The 19,088-nt window shown below is 43.6% G+C and overlaps 1 protein-coding gene, 1 long non-coding RNA gene and 1 pseudogene across 10 annotated transcripts in view, besides 5 other annotated features; 1 reads left to right on the plus strand and 2 right to left on the minus strand.

Moving 5' to 3' along the window:
* MAP7 (microtubule associated protein 7) overlaps positions 1 to 12,751 on the minus strand; it is a 207,689-nt gene extending 194,938 nt beyond the window's left edge. For all 9 annotated transcript variants that reach the window (NM_001388352.1, NM_001388347.1, NM_001198617.3 and 6 more), the window contains exon 1: positions 12,671 to 12,751. In NM_001388352.1, the coding sequence (NP_001375281.1) occupies positions 12,671 to 12,737 (67 nt within the window). In that variant the 5' untranslated portion in view covers positions 12,738 to 12,751. The remainder of the gene's footprint in view (positions 1 to 12,670) is intronic.
* RN7SKP299 (RN7SK pseudogene 299) lies at positions 7,521 to 7,821 on the plus strand (annotated as a pseudogene).
* Positions 11,587 to 12,125: an enhancer, noted in NCBI's record as "H3K27ac-H3K4me1 hESC enhancer chr6:136870396-136870934 (GRCh37/hg19 assembly coordinates)". NCBI's record gives its function as "activates a minimal SCP1, AML or CMV promoter by ChIP-STARR-seq in naive H9 embryonic stem cells {active_cell/tissue: H9 hESC(naive)}" and the evidence as "EXISTENCE:reporter gene assay evidence [ECO:0000049][PMID:30033119]".
* Positions 12,423 to 12,472: a silencer, noted in NCBI's record as "silent region_17572". NCBI's record gives its function as "represses an Ori minimal core promoter by ATAC-STARR-seq in GM12878 lymphoblastoid cells {active_cell/tissue: GM12878}" and the evidence as "EXISTENCE:reporter gene assay evidence [ECO:0000049][PMID:35858748]".
* Positions 12,483 to 12,662: a silencer, noted in NCBI's record as "silent region_17573". NCBI's record gives its function as "represses an Ori minimal core promoter by ATAC-STARR-seq in GM12878 lymphoblastoid cells {active_cell/tissue: GM12878}" and the evidence as "EXISTENCE:reporter gene assay evidence [ECO:0000049][PMID:35858748]".
* Positions 12,664 to 13,201: an enhancer, noted in NCBI's record as "H3K27ac-H3K4me1 hESC enhancer chr6:136871473-136872010 (GRCh37/hg19 assembly coordinates)". NCBI's record gives its function as "activates a minimal SCP1, AML or CMV promoter by ChIP-STARR-seq in primed H9 embryonic stem cells {active_cell/tissue: H9 hESC(primed)}" and the evidence as "EXISTENCE:reporter gene assay evidence [ECO:0000049][PMID:30033119]".
* Positions 12,703 to 13,052: a silencer, noted in NCBI's record as "silent region_17574". NCBI's record gives its function as "represses an Ori minimal core promoter by ATAC-STARR-seq in GM12878 lymphoblastoid cells {active_cell/tissue: GM12878}" and the evidence as "EXISTENCE:reporter gene assay evidence [ECO:0000049][PMID:35858748]".
* On the minus strand, positions 13,052 to 14,834 carry MAP7-AS1 (MAP7 antisense RNA 1). The gene has a single exon (NR_186370.1). It is a non-coding gene; the product is annotated as an MAP7 antisense RNA 1 (long non-coding RNA).

Genomic DNA, 19,088 nt, shown 5'->3' on the forward strand with positions numbered 1-19,088 from the left:
TCAATTTCCACAGTGGCTACTGTATACAAAAAGACAATTTGGGAGCATTGCTGGGAGAATCTAAACCCAGGACCCATCTGAGGAAATGACATATTTTCAGATTTACGAAGTTATGAATTTTTTTTTTTTTTTTGAGATGGAGTTTCGCTTTTGTTGCCCAGGCTGGAGTGCAATGGCACAATCTCGGCTCACCGCACCTTCCTCTTTTCAAGCGATTCTCCTGCCTCAGCATCCCGAGTAGCTGGGATTACAGGCATGTGCCACCAAGCCCAGCTAATTTTGTAGTTTTAGTAGAAACAGAGGTTTCTCCACATTGGTGAGGCTGGTCTCGAACTCCCGACCTCGGGTGATCAGCCGGCCTCGGCCTCCCAAAGTGCTGGGATTACAGGCGTGAGCCACCATGCCTGGCTGAAATTTTTTAAAAGATATAAAATTCTAAATTCCAAGTTGAACAAGATATCATTTTCTTAGTGAGAAATGTGCCTCACCCACATGCCCACACACCACACCCAGGATACACCTTGTAAATGGTCCTCTACAACTTAAGAAAGTTTCTTCTAAAATTTGTGACTTTAATAACTTACTGATATTTTCTATTTCATGTATGTACTTTGCTTGAAGAAACCCAAACTGCCTCCTGCTTCTCATGAACATCTCGTGGAAGGCAAGTTGTATGTTTCCTCTATTTTCCTGGTAGAGAAGCATATTCAATGTGGTGATAGTGCCTTGTTTAAAGTCACAACGGGTGTTAGGAGGTCCATCTCTCTATGGCTTAAAGCAACATAACCTATGTGGCAATATTTTAGCAAAGGACTTAAAATTTAAAACTATGGGCCAGGTGCGGTGGCTCACGCCTGTAATCCCAGCACTTTGGGAGGCCGAGGCAGGAGGATCACTTGAGTTCGAAACCAGCCTGAGCAACATGGTGACACCCTGTCTCTACAAAAAGAGACAAAAAAAAAAATTAGCTGGTGCTAGGAATAGTGGCGTGTACCTGTAGTCCCAGCTACCTCAGGGGGCTGAGATGGGAGGATCGTTGGAGCCCAGATGTCAAAGCTGCAGTGAGCCATGATGGTGCCACTTAACTCTAGTTTGGGTGACAGAGCACCAGAGCAAGATTTTGTCTCAAAAAAAAAAAAAAAAAAAAAAGCCAAGAAGGGCTTTTATGGGTGTTTAGCGTGATCACATAACACAATCTAAGGGTCTCACAGGCCAGTGTACAGCAACCTCCTGGAACATTTGACAGGTAAAAACCATCATCCCAAGTGCTTTAATGATGCCTTTGATCCCAGTGCCAGCCTATGACAGTGTGATCACACAGCTACAATGAGGCCTGAATCATCATTACATTCTGATGCCTTCACTATGGAGAGCTTACTATTATAAATAAAAAACGGCTTAAGGAAGAAACTTAGCATGCCAGGGTGTGCCCATCGTTTCACAGTAATGCAATACTAATCTTCAGTAATCATGACAAGAACCATAACAAACACTTGGTGCCTATGCTGTGTCAAGCACTGTTCTAAGAACTTTAGTATCAACTAATTTAATCCCTGTGACGATATTACCAATACCCTATTTTAAAAAGGAAGACACTGAGGAAGAGAATGCTTACATGACATGCCCAAGATCCCACAGGTACCAAGTGGTGGAGCTGAGATTGGAACCCAGGCAGCCAGACTCCAGAGACCTTGCACAAAATAGTAGGTTAGAATTACCCCTAAACAATTAGTGTTAGTTTTGAGCTTCAGACCTCACAGCCTCACACATGCTCAGTTTCCATATAATCTTAAAGAGAAATCAAAGATACTCTTATTTAGGAATCAGTCCCATCCAATATCCACTACTGACCTCTTCATTTTTGCCTTGGACTTCATAGTTAGACATATGCTAGCTGCAAAGAGGAGAAAAGGATAGGAAATCATGCTGCCAAAGGTAAGCCCTCCCAGAAAAAGCTTCAAATCACAAAAGATGGCACCACAAAACCTCAGGAGCAGGCACGAATGCAACTCAGAAGTGCCTGTAAGCTGGGTGTGGTGGCTCATGCCTATAATTCCAGCACTTTCAGAGGCTGAGGCAGGAGGATTGCTTGTGTCCAGGAGTTTGAAACCCGCCTGGGCAACATAGAGAAATCTCATCTCTACAAAAAATAAACAAAATTAGCCAGGCTGATGGCATGCACCCGTAGTCTCAGGTACTCGGTAGGCTGAGGTAGGAGAATAGCTTGAGACCAAGAGGTCAAGGCTGTAGTAAGTCAGGATTGTGCCACTGCATCCCAGCTTGGGCGACAGAGCGAGACCCTGTCTCAAAAACAAAACCAGAAGTGCCTGTAGACATTTCAGTGTGTAGAGCCAGAGATGACAATTTGAGGTGATAATCAAAGCACAAGTTGAATAATCCTGCTGAGAAAAAAATGCACATTAAAAACCGCAGAGGTTACCAGCTGGGCCTTGGGCACAGCAGCATGCGGTGAGGAGAAACAAGAGAGGTGAAGGAAAGAAAGATTAGCCTGAAGGGTATTAGCATCTGGTCACACGGAAGGGAAAAGGTCGTACTTGGGTCAACTATTTATAGACAGAAGAAACAAGGTCCAGTCTCCAGAGCCAGGGACCTGGTGATCAGAGGTCAGGGGTCACTAGAAAGATCTCTGGGAAAAGTATGTAATTTTCTACAAAATACTTTAATATCTACCCCAATTTAACCTTTCCTGGTTTTAAGGGGCAGGAGGGAGAGGAAGGCAGTGTAGGAGCTAGGCAAAGTCAAAACAAAAGCTGAATGGTATTTTGTCTCACTGCACATATTCATACAGAAATGTGCGTACATGTGGACACTGAGTATATGTGTGCATACTTAGCTATTCAATTGTACTCATAACTGTATTCACATCTATATTTCCTTCAAAAAAGTCCTGGGGCAAAATAAGAGACAACCTGAGTAAACTCACTAGACTTAGGGCAATTGCTATTACGATTTTCCATGTGGTTTCCATAAGCAAGGTGCACACACTTGACACCACACACCACAATAGTCAAATGGAAGGGAATACAATAGGAAATGGTTCTGAATCATTAGTTCTCAGCACTGATTGCACACCAGACCATCTGGGGAATTTTAAAAACACTGCCACCTGACTCCCATCCTGCAAGATTCTCAGATAATTACCTTGGATGCCACCTGGGCATCCTGATATTTAAATGGTCCCCAGGTGATTTTTAATCACTGCCAAGATTGAGAGCCAATGATGTGAATCAATGATACTCCAGCACATGGGCGCAATAATCATTTCAACAACATAACCTTGGGGTCAAGGAGTGACCCATATTTAAATGAACCCACCACGCCTGTGGTGAAGTTGTCACTGAACTAATTTGGAGCATCTACCATGAATAGAAACCAGTCCAGCTGGAATGCAAGAAGTAAGCAACCAGGTCCTGTCTGGTGCGCCTGCCACCCCAAAGGCTTGGGTCAGGAGCTTCTGAGAACCAGAAGCCCAGATTCGAATCTTGAGAAGCAGCCAAAAGTTTTGCTACAGGAACACATCTTACAGCCAATTATTATGCATGTTATTGCCACCAAGTAGGCTTCATGATGAGGGGTGGAGGTGCTAAGGAAGGGCTCCTTTCTAGAACTTCACCTTGACATTTAAACTGATCCTAGAGAACTTTTCTACATTCAACAGTGTTGGGGAAATGAGTTTTATACTCAGAGGTTATGCCATAGTGAAGGATAGTTCTCTTTACTAGAAAGCCAACTCCAAAAAGGAAGCTTACATATCATTTAATTTTAAAAGTCACAGAATTAGAAATTTTAAGATACCCCAAATCTCAATACTCTAAACTTAAAGATATATCATTTACTAACAGTGCCTATGAAGTGCAGCTCACATATGCCAAGTGCACTGCTCCCAGCCTCCTCCCTGCATTGTTTTATACCCCGTGCTCCTCTGTGCCATCTGGTCAGGTGTGTCAATCCTCCTTGGCACTTTCTCATGATTCTTTTTTTCACAACTATTTCTATAGGAGCATCAAGGATGAAGAACAGTTGAATGCAGTTTTTCTCAGTGTCAAATACTATATATTACTCTTCAAATCAAAATTCAAAGTGGAGCCGGGAGTGGTGGCTCCCACCTGTAATTCCAGCACTTTAGGAGGCTGAGTTGGGCAGATCGCTTGAGCTCAGGAGTTCAAGACAAGCCTGGCCAACACGGCAAAACCCCCTCTCTACTAAAAATCCAAAAATTAGCTGGGCATGGTGGTGGGCACCTGTAGTCCCGGCTACTCGGGAGGCTGAGGCACAAGAATCATTTGAACCTGGGAGGCAGAGGTTACCGTGAGCCAAGTTCGTGCCACTGCACTCCAGCCTGGGCAACACAGCGAGACTCTGTCTCAAAAAATATATTTAAAAAAAATTTCAAAGTGGTACCTAATAAAAAAATCTTACAGATCTTTTTCAACAGGCTATTTCTCAAATTAAAAAGATACTAAAGAGAATAATAATTACTGAAGAGAAAATCCAAATGCCATTTAAATGTGTCAACAACCGTAACTCAGAGTTTTACAAGAGCTAAGATAGTAAAGAGGTAGACAACATCACCGCTAGAGAACGAGACAAACCCTAAAACTGAATTTTATAAAAAAGTATAAGCCTAAATACCATTCACATTTAGCTTACAGAACCTTAGACCATGAGCAACTGATGAAACGTCCAATGACAGACTATCAAGGCTTTACAAAGCACTGTATCTGAGAACTGGTAAGTATTCAGTTTGACAATATAAGATGTTCCAATAAGGAATTAATCAGGATAATAAACAAAGTATATGAACAATATGTCTAGCTTTCTAACAACAAAACAAGTTATTTCCAAGTTCTAGAAAGCCATATCTCAAGGGATTAGAACAGAGACCATTAAGGAGGAAGAGAGAACTTGAATTGGCAGGGAATGTGCTATATAATGGCACTTCCGTCTATAATCAACTTCAGAATGCATACTCCACAGGAAATAAGAGATACTATGGCTCTTCAAGCAAGCAATGGTGTGTTAAAATTAAAAAAAAAAAGAAATACTGTGGGGAAAAAAGAATGAAGGAGAATAAAGATATTAGAGTCAAATATAAATTCCGTATTATACCTAGGCTCTGGGATCAACACCACCTCCAGGCTTTCCTAATTCATGTGAGCATGGGTTAGCATTAAAAAGGCACTATTTTACTTTGAGGTGATTACATTGCTTTACTCAAAGAACTTGGTGGAATGGCTAAAGTTTTAAAAACAAACAAAACTAACGATACTAAGTATTAGTGAGGATGCAGGGCAACCAGAACTCACATACACTGTTTGTAAGAATGTAAAACCGTAGAGTTGCTCTGGAAAAGCTTGGCCATTTCTTATAAAGTTAAACATACAGTTACATGAATCAGCAATCCCACTCCTAGGTATTTACCCAGAATAGATGAAAACTATGCTCACACAAAAACCTGTAGGTAAGTGTTTACAGCAGCATTATTCATAATTGCCAAAACCCGGGAACAACTCAAATGTTCTTTGATAAACCATCTGTGATACTTCCATACAATGGCAAACTACTTCATCAAGAAAAAGGATGTACCACATCCTAACATGCACAACAGTGTGCCTGAATCTCAAAAACATGATGCCAGGTGAAAAATTCAGACTCAAAAGGTTACACAATGTGGGGCTGGGTGCAGCGGCTCACGCCTGTAATCCCAGCACTTTGGGATACTGAGGCGGGTGGATCACCTTTGGTCAGGAGTTCATGATCAGCCTGATGGGGTTTAGTAGAAACCCCATCTCTACTAAAAATACAAAATTAGCCGGGCATGGTGGCACATGCCTGTAATCACAGCTATCCGGGAGGCTGAGGCAGGAGAATCGCTTGAACCCAGGAGGCGGAGGAGGTTCCTGTGAGCTGAGATTGTGCCATTGCACTCCAGCCTGGGCAACAAGAGTAAAACTCCGTCTCACAAAAAAAAAGAAAAAAAGGTTACACAATGTATGATTCCACTTTTATGACATTCTGGAAAAGGCAAAACTAGGAAGATGGTAAACAGATCAGTGGTTGCCAGGGGTTAGGTGTAGGAAGAGAGTCTCACTACAAAGGTGCAGCATTAGGGAATTTAGGTTGGAGGCAGAGGACTCTTTGGGATAATGTTAACGGTGGTGCTTACATTACCTATACAGTCAACAAAACTAAAAAAAGAAAATAAAAGAAAATCCGTAATTTTTTTTGCACACAAATTATTTTTTTCGAGAAGGTGTCATGCTCTGTTGCCCAGGCTGGAATGTGGTGCTACCATCTCGGCTCACTACACCCTCCGTCTCCCAGGTTCAAACAATTCTCCTGCCTCAGCCTCCTGTGTAGTTCGGATTACAGATGTATGCCACGACACCTGGCTAATTTTTGTATTTTCAGTAGAGATGGGGCTTTGCCATGTTGCCCAGGCTGGTCTCGAACTCCTGAGCTCAAGCGATCTGCCCGCCTTGGTCTCCCAAAGTGCTGGGATTACAGGCATGAGCCACCGCACCTGGACTGTACGCAAATTTTAGAATAGATTTTTTAAAATCCCTCTGCCTATTCAAGGATTTGTAATTTTTTCCTCTCACCAGCAAGCTTTATGGGAGGGTCTATTAAATTGGCTACCTTTCTTCCCAAACTGCTTATCTCACAATCACTTCTAATCTGATGTAGCCCCAACTCTTGCACCAACAACTGAAATTCCTCTTCTGGGGTTGGTCAGTGACTATTTGTAACCAAACCAACAGCTTTTTATAAAATGTCTTCATCAGTCTTTGAATCCCTTACCTCTCCATCCCTCTCAGCAGGTGTGACATTGCTCAGCTGTGCTTTTCCATCTGTCTGCTTTGCTGGCTCTTCCTCCTCCCATGCTTTACAGGTCGTCTCACCCCTTTGTGGTTTTTCTGAGCTCTCCTCACTCCCAAACCTTCAGCTATTATTCCTTTATGGAGTGAATCCCAGAGTCCTGACCTCTATTTTTCTCTTTTAGTCCTATACTTCCAGTTGCCTTTTGAACATTTCCACTTACAGATCTCTCTTGTACCACACATTTTCATGTCTAAAGCAGAGAGGTTTTTTTCCTGTTTCTCCCACCAAAACCTGATTCTGCTGGACACAGTGGTGCATGCCTGTAGTCCCAGCTACTCGAACAGCTAAGCCGGGAGGATCACTTGAGCCCAGGAGTTCAAGTCCAGCCCAGGCAACATAGCAAGACCCGCCCCCCATCTCTTTGGGGTAAAGAACAAAACAGGTCCTCCTCATGAATATTTTCCAATAAGTCAATGAGCCAAACTCAAACTTGGAAAAGTCTCATATGTCACCTTTTTACCTGCAATCCTTTGACACATGCCCCTGCAGAACCTTAAATTAATCGTCTCTTCCTATTGCCATGCTAATGACTGCCTGGATTTCTGCAGGAATCTCAAAGTTGGTGTGTATGTCGCTGAACTCTTCTTCAGTCCATCCTCAAGTCCACGTTGCTACTTTGAAATGAGGACCAGCTGAGTAGACCTAGCCCTTCATTGATCTCCAGAGATTTGGCTAATCTGGCTAGGCAGATATTCCTCATGCATTCTCATCCCTCCAGGTGCACCCTTCCCAAAGCAGTAAAAGAAAAAAAAAAAAAAATCAATGGAAGAGAATGACTTTCCCAGAGGGAGGAACTTTGCTTTCATTAGCTAAAGGCACAGCTGAGCTCTTGTTAGAACTTGCAATCAATATTTCAAGATTCATGGGCACAGAACTACCTGATTATTCCTGCTTTAATCAATATCCTTTATTCTCAAGAATCCTCAACACTTCCCCCACTACCCTACCCCAGAAAAATGTACTAGCCTCTCAGTTTGGCCTTCAGCCCTTCCACAATTTGACTTCGATGAACAATCATTCCTAACTGACCTAGGACTTTCTTTGAGCTTTACACATGTGTCAATATGACCAAAACTTTGCTCTTTTTCACACCTGCATCTTTTTCTCCCTTTCCTCCATCTAATTTTATATCCCACTTACCCATTTTTAAAAGTTTATTTTTTTATTTTTTAAATTAAAACAAATTTAATTTTTTTTTATTTTTGTGGGTAAATAGTAGGTATATATATTTATATGGTACATGAAATGTTTTGATACAGGCATGCAATGTGAAATAATTACATCATGGAGAATGGGGTATCCATCCCCTCAAGCATTTATCCTTTGTGTTACAAACAATCCAATTACACTCTTAGATATTTTTAAAAGTACAATTAAGTTATTGACTATAATCAATCTGCTGTGCTATCAAATAGTATTTGTTACTATTCTTATTCTTTCTAACTTTTTGTTTTTTGAGACATGGTCTCGCTCTGTCACCCAGGCTGGAGTGCAGTGGTGCAATCTTGGCTCACTGCAACCTCAACCTCCTGGGTTCAAGTGATTCTTCTGCCTCAGCCTCCCAAAGAGCTGGAACTATAAGCGTGCGCCACCACACCAGGCTAATTTTTTTATTTTTAGTAGAGATGGGGTTTTACCACGTAACCCAGGCTAGTCTCAAACTCCTGGCCTCATGTGATCTGCCTGCTTCAGCCTCCCAAAGTGGTGAGATTACAGGCGTGAGCTACTGCCTCTGGCCTTTTTTTTTTTCAAACCATTAACCATCCCCACCTCCCTGCCACCTCCCACCCCCTACCCCCACTACTCTTCTCAGCCTCTGGTAACCATGCTTCTACTCTCTCTGTCCATGAGTTCAATTGTTTTGATTTTTAGATCCTACAAATGAGTGAGAAGATGCAATGTTTGTCTTTCTGTGCCTGGCTTATTTCACTTAACATAATGATCTCCAGTTCCACCACTTTTTAAAATTTAACTTCAGTGCTGTATCCAGTATGTTCTTCCTGCTGACCACAGCCGGAAGTGATTCCTCCTTCACTGAACTCCTCATAACCTGCAACTGTTTGTTGGTGAATTTTGTCTTCCTTGCTAAATTCAAGGATCATTTGTTCAACAGCCTTCTAACCACCATAATGCTGAATACACAGAAGGTACACATTTCTTATTCTAAGCCTCAATATTTTCAATTCTTACATCAATACGAGGCCCGAGTTTTTAAAAATAACTCTTCCAAATGATTGTTTCTCATGCATTGGGAGGCAAAGATGTTAGAATTTTTTTAGAGAAAATGCCAGTGTAAATAAACTGTGTAAAAATATTTCACACAAGCCTATCAATATTACATAAATGCATGCTCCTGAGCACAATTGCCTAGTCTAATAATAACGTTTCCTCCTACTTAGCAAGATGTAAAGGTAACAGCCATATAGGATGGGAGAAAAGCTATCTAGCTATGTGAATGAAGCATCTCTTTCAAAGGGGACAAGCTTAATACCAAATTGACGTCTGAGCCCTTATTTAATTGCAGATATTTAATGTGGACCCTTAGAGTTAAGTGACACCTACAAGATCACTTTTTGATTTGGAAAAGTTCATGAAAGGATGGTCACGAAAGAGGCCATGTTCACCACACAGGTTGCTAAAATGGACAAAAAGCCCAATTCCAGATTCTAAGTCATGACCCACTTCCCAAAATATCAACAGAATTGACAGGTTATTGGCATTAACTTATTCCTTCGTGCATGAAAGCTTCATGAATTAATCAAAAGCAGCTTTAAATTTGCTTTTAGTTCAGGAGGTTTTTAAAACAGGCTATCAGACTAGGAAATTAGTGCTGTACACTCGCTTTCCACAGCTCTTGAACATGAACATAAAATTAAATATACAAAGCTTGGGTAGAGGCAGTTTTGTGAATATCACCCATCGTAGGTCGACTACTCAAAAAAGGCTGAAAAAGGACTTGACATCCTCTAGTGGTGATGTCTTAAACTTGTTTCCAAGGCAATTTTTTTTTTCCCAGCTCTTAACTTTGGCTGTTGGCAAGAAAAATATTATATTGGAAGAACTTTTCATCCTCAAGAAAAATAAATGTTTTCGCCACAAAGAATGTGATTTGACTAACTTTGAGAATATATACCCACAGAAATAGGGTTTTTAAATGTTGGGTTTATATAATAGCTTTCAATATGCTTAAGAACGGTCTCATTTCATAGGCCACACGCCACCACTGTCAATTCATCTTTGATACACATATACACACACACACACTCACACATATAATTCTGAACACATTACAGGTATCATTTTTATAATAACCTGATATTCTCATCTAAAGTGCCCTAAAATTAGACCAGTCTTTGTATAGAGACCCAAAAACTAAGAGTTATTTAAGAGTGGACTCTACCTCATAATAATGAGTTCTAAAAAGAAATAAAATTAATCCCTCAAGAAATGTTGCCATTTAAGGTGGCAATTTTCAACTCTTGATGGTAATAGTTTCTCTGTCCACGGCCACCCACCACCACCACCCCCCCCCACCCCCCCAACAATTCCATACAAACTTCTGATTGTTTAAAAAAATGAGACTTGCAGTATTTGGATGTGTATAATGTGAAATATGTTCACCAGAATGAAGTGCTAAATTAAAGTCTCATATTCAGATATAGGTCATGTGTTTTAAATATATGGAATAACTTAAGTTGTTGAAATTCAAACAATCTCACTTGTTCTCTCAAAATAACTACCACCTAGATTCAAAAAAATACATTTACACCTTCCTTCTTTCTTTGGCACCTGCTGACACAAATGCTTCTGAACACTAAAAACATTAATAGTAATCTTGGGGTAGAAAAATAGGAAAGAGATGCGGGGCCAGAATTAAGTTTTCAGTGAAATTATAAAGTATAATTATTCAAGACCATATATAAAAAATGTCCTTTGGAAAATGAAGTTTTTAGGCAAAAGTGTGGAAGAAATGTTTTCTATGAAGGAGATAACAGCCAATTTAACTCCCTTTTTAATAAAAGAAAATATTACACTGACAGGCACATGGTTGATTTGTATATTAATTGTTGGAAGCACGGCCTATTCCTTAACATGCTCAGGCACTGAATATCCTACAGTTTGTAGTCAGTTCACTTATGTCTGAACAAGTTGTTCACGTGCAGATTCTAGAAAGTTTATTTTTGAGCACAAACTAACACTTAGCTCGCTAGAACAATGTTGTTTCACATGCAGTTACTGGGTCAGGGTTAGGAACGAAAATCATGCCGTATATTTACAAATGAGGATGCTCCTCTCCCGGGGCCCTCACTTGGGGGAGCCCCGTCCCAGCGTCTAGCTCATCAAATTCCCGAAAGCAATTACAAAGGCATCTCTTCTCCACCCCAAAACAAAATAATGATCTACCAATCTTGCGAACACATTAAGACAAACTCCCTACAGGAAGGAGCATGACTTAAACAAGTTCAAGATACTTTGTCAGTCTTAACCTCAGGTATCTTGGCTGAAGGGATTAAATCATTAGACTTTACGTACCCAACCTCTTCCTAGCAATAGCAGATACATAATTTGCAAATACTGTTTCAGAGCTCTCTGGACCTTTCACGTTAAAATAAGCATACTTGATGGTGGGGAGACAGTGATTCTTACATTTAGGAAACAAATGCTTCCGATTGTGACCGTATGGAAGTGGAAAACAGCTTGCAATTGGAGAGTCTAAGAATTGAATTTCTTTTTAAAGTAAGAAACTGCCTCACTGCCCCCATCCCCAAGTGTAGGAAGATATAGAAACAGCTTACTGGCCAAGAATAGAAGAGGGAACCAGTGGAGAGGGACGGATTTGCAAGATAGCCTCTGGAGAAAAAAAAATCACGAGGGAGAAAAATCGGCTTCATACTATGGAGAGATGGGCGGGGTTGGGAAGCCTTGCTGCTGGTCTTGGGAAGCCTTGCTGCTGGTCTTGGGGACGTGATCCCCTGTCCCTAAGTGTGCCCCTGGAGGTTGTGGGGGAGGGGTATCCTCAACACAGAGGCCTGACCACCAAATCCCGGGCTGCAGAGCCAACAATCCTCCTTTGGGCTCCTGCACAGACTAAAAACAAAAAACTCTGAGAACTCCGACAAGTCAACGAAAGTCTGATCCCGTCAAGCCCGCACTCGCAAACCCCCACCGTGCTGCACTGGGCCCCGGCCCTCCCGAGCTCGGTCCCCTCGGACGACGGTCGTCGCCACTGCGGGCACCAGATTGGGGGGCGGGCCGCTCACCCCGCGGTCCTGCCCCACACCGACCCCGCTGAGGAGCCCCCGGCACCCGGGGCGACCAGGGAAGGCGGGAGGAGGTGCCCAGAAACTGCTCGTCCTGCCAGTCGCACCTGGCCGACGACTCTCTGGCCACTGGTTTGGTCTGGGGGATACGATTTCCCATTCAACTGAATTAGACCCGAGGCCGCGGCGGGGAGGGCAGCGGCCGGGGTCTCTCCGTTTCCTCCCCCGGCTCGCCTCCACCTGTTGCGGGAAAGTCGCGGTGGAGCGCCCGAGGGCGGCCGCAACCCCGGCCGGGGCCGAGCCGGGCTGGCCGAGCCGCGGCGGCGAAGGGCGGGGGAAGGCGCTCTCGGAGCAGGGTGCGCGGCGCGCAGGGCCGGTTGTTCCGGGCCGCGGCCGCGCGGGCGGGGAGGGGGCTGCCGGCGCCGGGTGATTTCGGTGCCAGCCCGCCGGCCCCGCTCGCCGTCCCCTGCCCGACGGGACCCCCACTATCCCCGCTGTGCGGTCACCTGTTTCGCTTCGCACTGCGCCGTCGCCGCCCCTGTGGCCGTCGCCGCCAGCTCCTAGCTCCGCCATGGTGCTCCGATGACGCGCCCGGAGAGCCGCTCCGCCCTTTCCTCGGCTTGGCTCCCGCCGGCCCCCGCCTCCCAGGCCAGCGGCCCAGACAGGTGAGCGCAGTCCGGGGATGGCGGAGGGCGGGGACAGAGAGCGCGGCAGTCGGCTGCGGCCTGGGCCTGGCGCGCCCCCTCGCGGGCAGGTGCGGCGTGGCAGCCGCTCCGACCGCCGCTGCCGAGTCTCGGCTGGAAGAGCGGCGGGCGGAACCAGTACCTCAGTCCGGAGCTTCCGGTCGCCGCGGCCGACCAGCTGAGGGCTCCCGGAGATATGGAGCGGGGTCAGCGAGGCCTGGTGGCGCCTCCTGGAGTCTGGGACGAGCGGCGGTCCGAGGAGCAGCCCAGGTGGGGCGAGGGTACGGAGACGCTATTTCCCTCCGAACTCTGAAGTAGCCAGGTCAGTGTCGGCTCCGCGAGGGCTGGAGTTCACGGTGACAGCCGGCAGAGCATCTGATGCCACGTGGAGAGGCGAAGTACATGGGTCGGATTCCACGCTGGGAGCCGGCCTGGATCTGCGCTTTAGGAAGCCACTGCGGGCGACCCTATCTTGTCGCCAGGACTTCGCATCTGATGAGCCTCAGGGCACACAAGTTAGAGAGGCTTGTGCCGGCTGATGTGGCTTTTCTTTTTCTTAGTTTCCGTTTAGTAAACGACCTTGTGACTTCTGGCTTGCTCAGGAAGACCAGAAAAAAAGGCAATAGGTAACGAATTTTTCTTTTTTTAAAGAAACAGATTATTGGCCGAGGAAAAACCAATTTCGCTCTAAAGGATAAGCAACAAAATACTGAGGGGGGAAAAAGCCTACACAAATGGAAACATACGGCACAAAATCAAGGAGCGACCAGTTCCGCATGGTTACACTAAAATGCACTGCACTCCCACTCTCTGGCTTGGCTGAAGATAACCAGCAAGCTCTGAACAGTTTAAAAGCCTTCCAAGGACTGCAGCAGCACTGGACACACAAGAGAGTCGAGAACAGTATTGGATTTATTGTTAGGGTTACAATTTTCACGATCTTTGCATGCAAAACTTGCCACTCTGAGCCCAGTGAACTATTTTTATTTGGTTTACTTACTGGCTTTCTGGATGACTAGGTAGAGCTTTAACTAAAGAACACTTCTGCTGTGGTCTGTGATGATGAATTTTCCCGTAGTGTCATTTCTATAATGGAATAGGCAAACTGACCATTTAGAATGTGATATTCCTAAATCACATTCAAATCAGTCTTATCAGAGACTTCTAATCAATAAAAATAAAGCACCAGATGGCTAGAGGTAGTTTTTGACCTCAGCTTGGGCCTCAGCAAAGATTTTTTGTGTTTTTTTTAACTACATTAAAACATCAGAGTTTAAGACACTTTTCTTTGAGCATCAGAAATACTCTCAGCTGAATTTAGAGTTGAACTATCCGGAAGAACCCTGGAGAAGGAGGGTGATTTATTTTCAACTTTCTGATTTACCACCGACTTAAATCAACCAATGAGTTCTTTCTTTGACCAAAAAAAAAAAAAAAAAAAAAAAAAAAAAAAAAAAAATTCAAGACTTGTGATGTTTCTATTTGTTTTGTTTTGTTTAGTTTGGTGTGTGCTTACTCATTGTCCCATTCTTTTGATAACCTGTATTTATCTGCCACAAGTTAAACAAAAATAAATGAAATAAGGAACACACCAAAATCCTGCACTTAGGCCCTGTATAGACAGTGTGTTCCAAACCTAAGGAGGTGTCTGCAACAGGGGAGGCTGCTGAGTGACTCTGCAGAGAACAGATGACATCTGTTAAATGTCAAACACCATCACGTCGTACTTCAAGTTGTACTTTACTTGGAACATGGAAGCCATCTGTCTGGAGCTCCCACATCCATTTCAAATCTTCAGGGTTCCCCATTCCAGGGGAGGAGCTGAACCTCCTGACACCGTCCACTTCCCTCCTGCCTCCTTCAAACATCATCCCTTTTTTCTCCCGAATCCCTAAATGTTTCTGCACCCAAGGGCTCTACCCCAATAAACACAGCTAAGACTCTTTGATTCTTAAAATGTCTTCCTTTAACGTCCCACCCTCCAGAATCTATTGTCGTATGTTTTGTTCACCAAAGGTAATAAAAATAAATGTGGATTTTGGTGCCGTTATTTTTCAAAAAAAGCTATATATTAATAGTTTTTCTTGCTTATGTATACAAATCAAATTACTTATTTTTAAATCCATCATTCCCCTAGAGTTTCTGCAGCACTTGATCCTCTAATCACCTTGCTCTTGGTCTACCATTGGCTTGGTTTTTCTCCTTCCTCTGTAGCAGTCCTTTCGTCTTTGTTGACTCAGATTCTTCCTCCCTTCTAATCCTCCAATATTTTTACCATCCCCTAATTGTAAACCACAGGCTTTTTATCTTTACTGTCTCTCACAGCCCTCATTTACTATTACTTCCATCCCGGATCCTGGTGACTCCCAACTCCAGAATATATACCCTTAACCTCACTCCTGACTTCCACTAATACATTCTGAATGGTCCCTGCACAATTCTATCAAGATACCCTGCTGTTAATTTAATATGTTCCAAACCACATTAATCTTGCAATATACAATCACTTTACACATACCTCTCCCTTGCTCAAAAACCTTTAATAGATTCCCCGTTCCTATATAAGTAAATATTAACTTCACCTCCTCACCATCACCACCACCACCCCCTAATTGGGCCCTGAGCTCTCTACTACCCATTTCCACTTTTCACCTCTGTAACTCATATTTCTAGCCCATGGAGTTGTTCATTCTCCAGAACACCTTCCAAATCCCTGCTTTCTAGTCTTTGTGCTTGAAGCTGCTCTGCCCGAAGTGATGTCCTTCATCCTGACGTATTTAATAATACTTTCCCTTTGAGGCCCAGGTTAAGGTCTACTTCCTCCATGAAGCCTGTTCTTCCTGCCCTGGCTCCCAGCATGCCTGTCCTTTGGACCTGGCCAGGGCTTGCTGGGCTTGATACTTGTCCAGCTGTTAAAATAGACTAGGCATGAGTTATTGCAAATTTGCCTTCTCAATCTGATGCACATTTTTGGTAGTAGGGTCTTTGTCCTCTACTTCTCTACAGGGTGTCCATAAAGTCTAGAACTATCAGTTATTTTATTTGTTCACGAGTTGCAGATGTTCTTGATGACATCATGTGCACTGCCTGCATTCTGAACTTGGTAGGCATGGTATATATCTTTTGTGTTGCTACCGTGCCTCACACACAGTGGGCATTCAAATGGGTTAATAATTCCTCAATGCCAAGCTTTTTTATGTGGTGGCCTAGGGATGAACGAAACCAAGTATCCAATGACAGAAGAAAGAGATCAAAATGCAGTTAAAAGGAAACATTAGATCTACTTCTCCCAGCAAATTCCTGTTTTGTTTCTTTTATAACACTGCCACCACCCCTGCATTAACTGTTCTGTTTCAAACCATCTTTCCAGGCTCAGCTCTGCACCTTCACTCCTCTGGAAAGCTTTCCTTGACCCCTTCTGACAGTAAATGTAACTATAGCACTGACTGCACCACTGTTGTTTCTGCTTTGTCTTGATTCCTTGACAAGAAACTTCAGGGGAAAGAACTGTATCTTGTTGGTGCACCACAATATGTAGTACCCAGTATTTAATAAATACTTTTGAATGAAGGATAAGTGATGGCAATAGCAAGCATATCTCAGTGTTTACTGTATGCTAAGCATTGTGCTGAGCACCTCTCCTGCATTGTCTTTTCCTTTTTGAGACAGAGTCTTGCTCTGTCGCCCAGGCTGGATTGCAATGGCGTGATCTCGGCTCACTGCAACATTCACCTCCTGGGTTCAAGCAATTCTCGTACCTCAGCCGCCCGAGTAGATGGGATTATAGGCGTGCGCCACCACGCCTGGCTAGTTTTTGTAATTTTAGTAGAGACAGGGTTTTGCTGTGTAGGCCAGGCTGATCTTGAACTCCTGGCCTCAAGTGATTCACCCACCTCGGCCTCCCAAAGTGCTGGGATTACAGGCACAAGCCACTGCGCCCAGCCTCCATTTTCTTATTTACATCTTATAGCAGACCTATGTGGAAGGTACATCATTTCCTCCATTTCACAGATGAGGAAGCTGAGACTTGGAGAAACTAATTCAGTTGTTCCAGGTCACAAGTCAAGTTACAGTTTTGCTTCAGGCCTGGGTGTGTAGCCTCCTGCTACGCTAAACAAATGATGAACGTTAACCATCTTGCTATTCCCTCTATAGAAAGGGGCTCTCCATTTCCCTCTCTAGCTGTTACCTGAAATAAGGAGGTGAAGCTTGATCATGTTAAAACACCTGTGAAACTAATTTTTAAAAAGGGTATCTGGGCCCAACCCCAGACCAGTAAAAACAGTTTTCCGGCTGGACACAGTGGCTCATGCCTGTAATCCCAACACTTTGGGAGGTTGAGGCAGGATGATCACTTGAGCCTAAAAGTTCGAGACCAGAGTGAGCTGAACATAGTAAGACCTTGTCTCTACAAAAAATTTAAAAATTAGCCAGACATGGTGGTGCATGCCTGTAGTCCCAGCTACTTGGGATGCTGAGGTGGGAGGACTACTTGAGCCCAGGAGGTCAAGAATGCAGTGAGCTATGACAGTGCCACTGCATTCTAGCCTGGGTGACAGAGACTCTGTCCCAAGAAAAAACAAATAACAACAACAACTCAGTTGTCCCAAGGTGGTGGCATCAATATTTTTGAAAAAGCATCCAAGTCATTTTAATGCGAAGCTGAGTTGAGAATCACTGGCCTAGATTGATCCTAAAAGCGTTTCAAATGCAAACCTTTCCATAATGGAGTCTTCCATAATGGAACTGTCTTCTTTTGTGCCTGAGACCCAAAATTCTCACAAATGGCTAATGATGTTGGCCTGGGAGTGTGTTAGAACCCTGTAGGGACAGAGGATCATCTGCTCACAAAGACAGGGTAAGAGGAAGGTACCAAGGAAAGATTGTATCCTTGAAGATTTGGTTTATGGTGGGTAGCTGGATCCTATATACAGTCAAAAGAAGCACTTCACCATTAGAATTGAGAAGATGAACTGTGGCTTAATAAACGGCTTACTCTGTGTTTCAGTATGAGCCAAATGGCATATCATTGAATTTATACCTCACTTATTTCAGAATATCCACACAGGATACCAGAGGCAACTCTGTCCTCCAAATTAGGATGTTAAAAAAGAGGCCAGAAGCAGTGGTTCACACCTATAAGCCCAGCACTTTGGAAGGCCAAGGCAGGAGGATCACTTGAGGCCAGGAGTTCAAGACCAGCCTAGATAACACAGTGAGATCCCACCTCTACTAAAAATTTAAAAATTAGCTGGTTGTGGTGGTGTGCCTCTGTAGTCCCAGCTACTCTGTAGGCTGACATGACAGGATTGCTTGAGCCTAAGGGGACAAGGCTGCAATGAGCTGTGATCGTACCACTGCATTCCAGTCTAGGCAACAGAGTGAGAACCTGTCTCGATCAATCAATCAGAAAACATTAGTGAGAATGTTTTCAAAATAAAGATGTCTTCTGCTTTGTCAAAGACTGTTGTTTATGAGTGAAATCATGATATACAAACAGCTCTATGTTATTTTTATCCTGCCTAATAAACAGGTTCCTCTGTATTTAAGAAAATGTATTTCATTTATCCATCTAGGAGCATCAGACTTCCTTTGATCAATATGGGCAGGCTCATAAAAATATACTACTCAGCTTAAAATAAATAAAAATGTTTATCCAAATATAAGAAAATTAAGGAGACAGAAAAATACAGTATTCTTGGCCAGGCATAGTAGCTCACCCCTGTGATCCCAGCACTTTAGGAGGCTAAGGAGGACGGATCACTTGAGGGCAGGAGTTCGAGACCAGCCTGCCCAACATGGCGAAACCCCATCTCTACTACAAATATAAATTAGCTGGGTGTGGTGGTACACACCTATAATCCCAGCTACTCAGGAGGCTGAGGTGTGAGAATCACTTGAACCCGGGAGGTGGAGAATGCAGTAAGCTGAGATCACGCCACTGCACTCCAGCCTGAGCAACAGAGCAAGACTCTGTTCAAAAAAAAAAAAAAAAAAAGCAAGCAGTATTCTCCATTAAGATGGTCTTTGCAGACCCCTTAAGATATACCATAGTTATCCAAGATAACTTGGGGCCTTGAGAAAAATATACTGACTTTCCTTTATTCTTTTTTTTCTTCATCCTCTTTTTTTTTTTTTCTTTTTTTTTGGTGAGACAGGGTCTTACTCTGTTGCCCAAGCTGGAGTGCAATGGCACAATCATGGCTCACCGCAATCTCGACCTCCCGGGCTCAAGCGATCC

Source organism: Homo sapiens, chromosome 6, assembly GCF_000001405.40.
Source record: "Homo sapiens chromosome 6, GRCh38.p14 Primary Assembly".
NCBI lineage: Eukaryota > Metazoa > Chordata > Mammalia > Primates > Hominidae > Homo > Homo sapiens.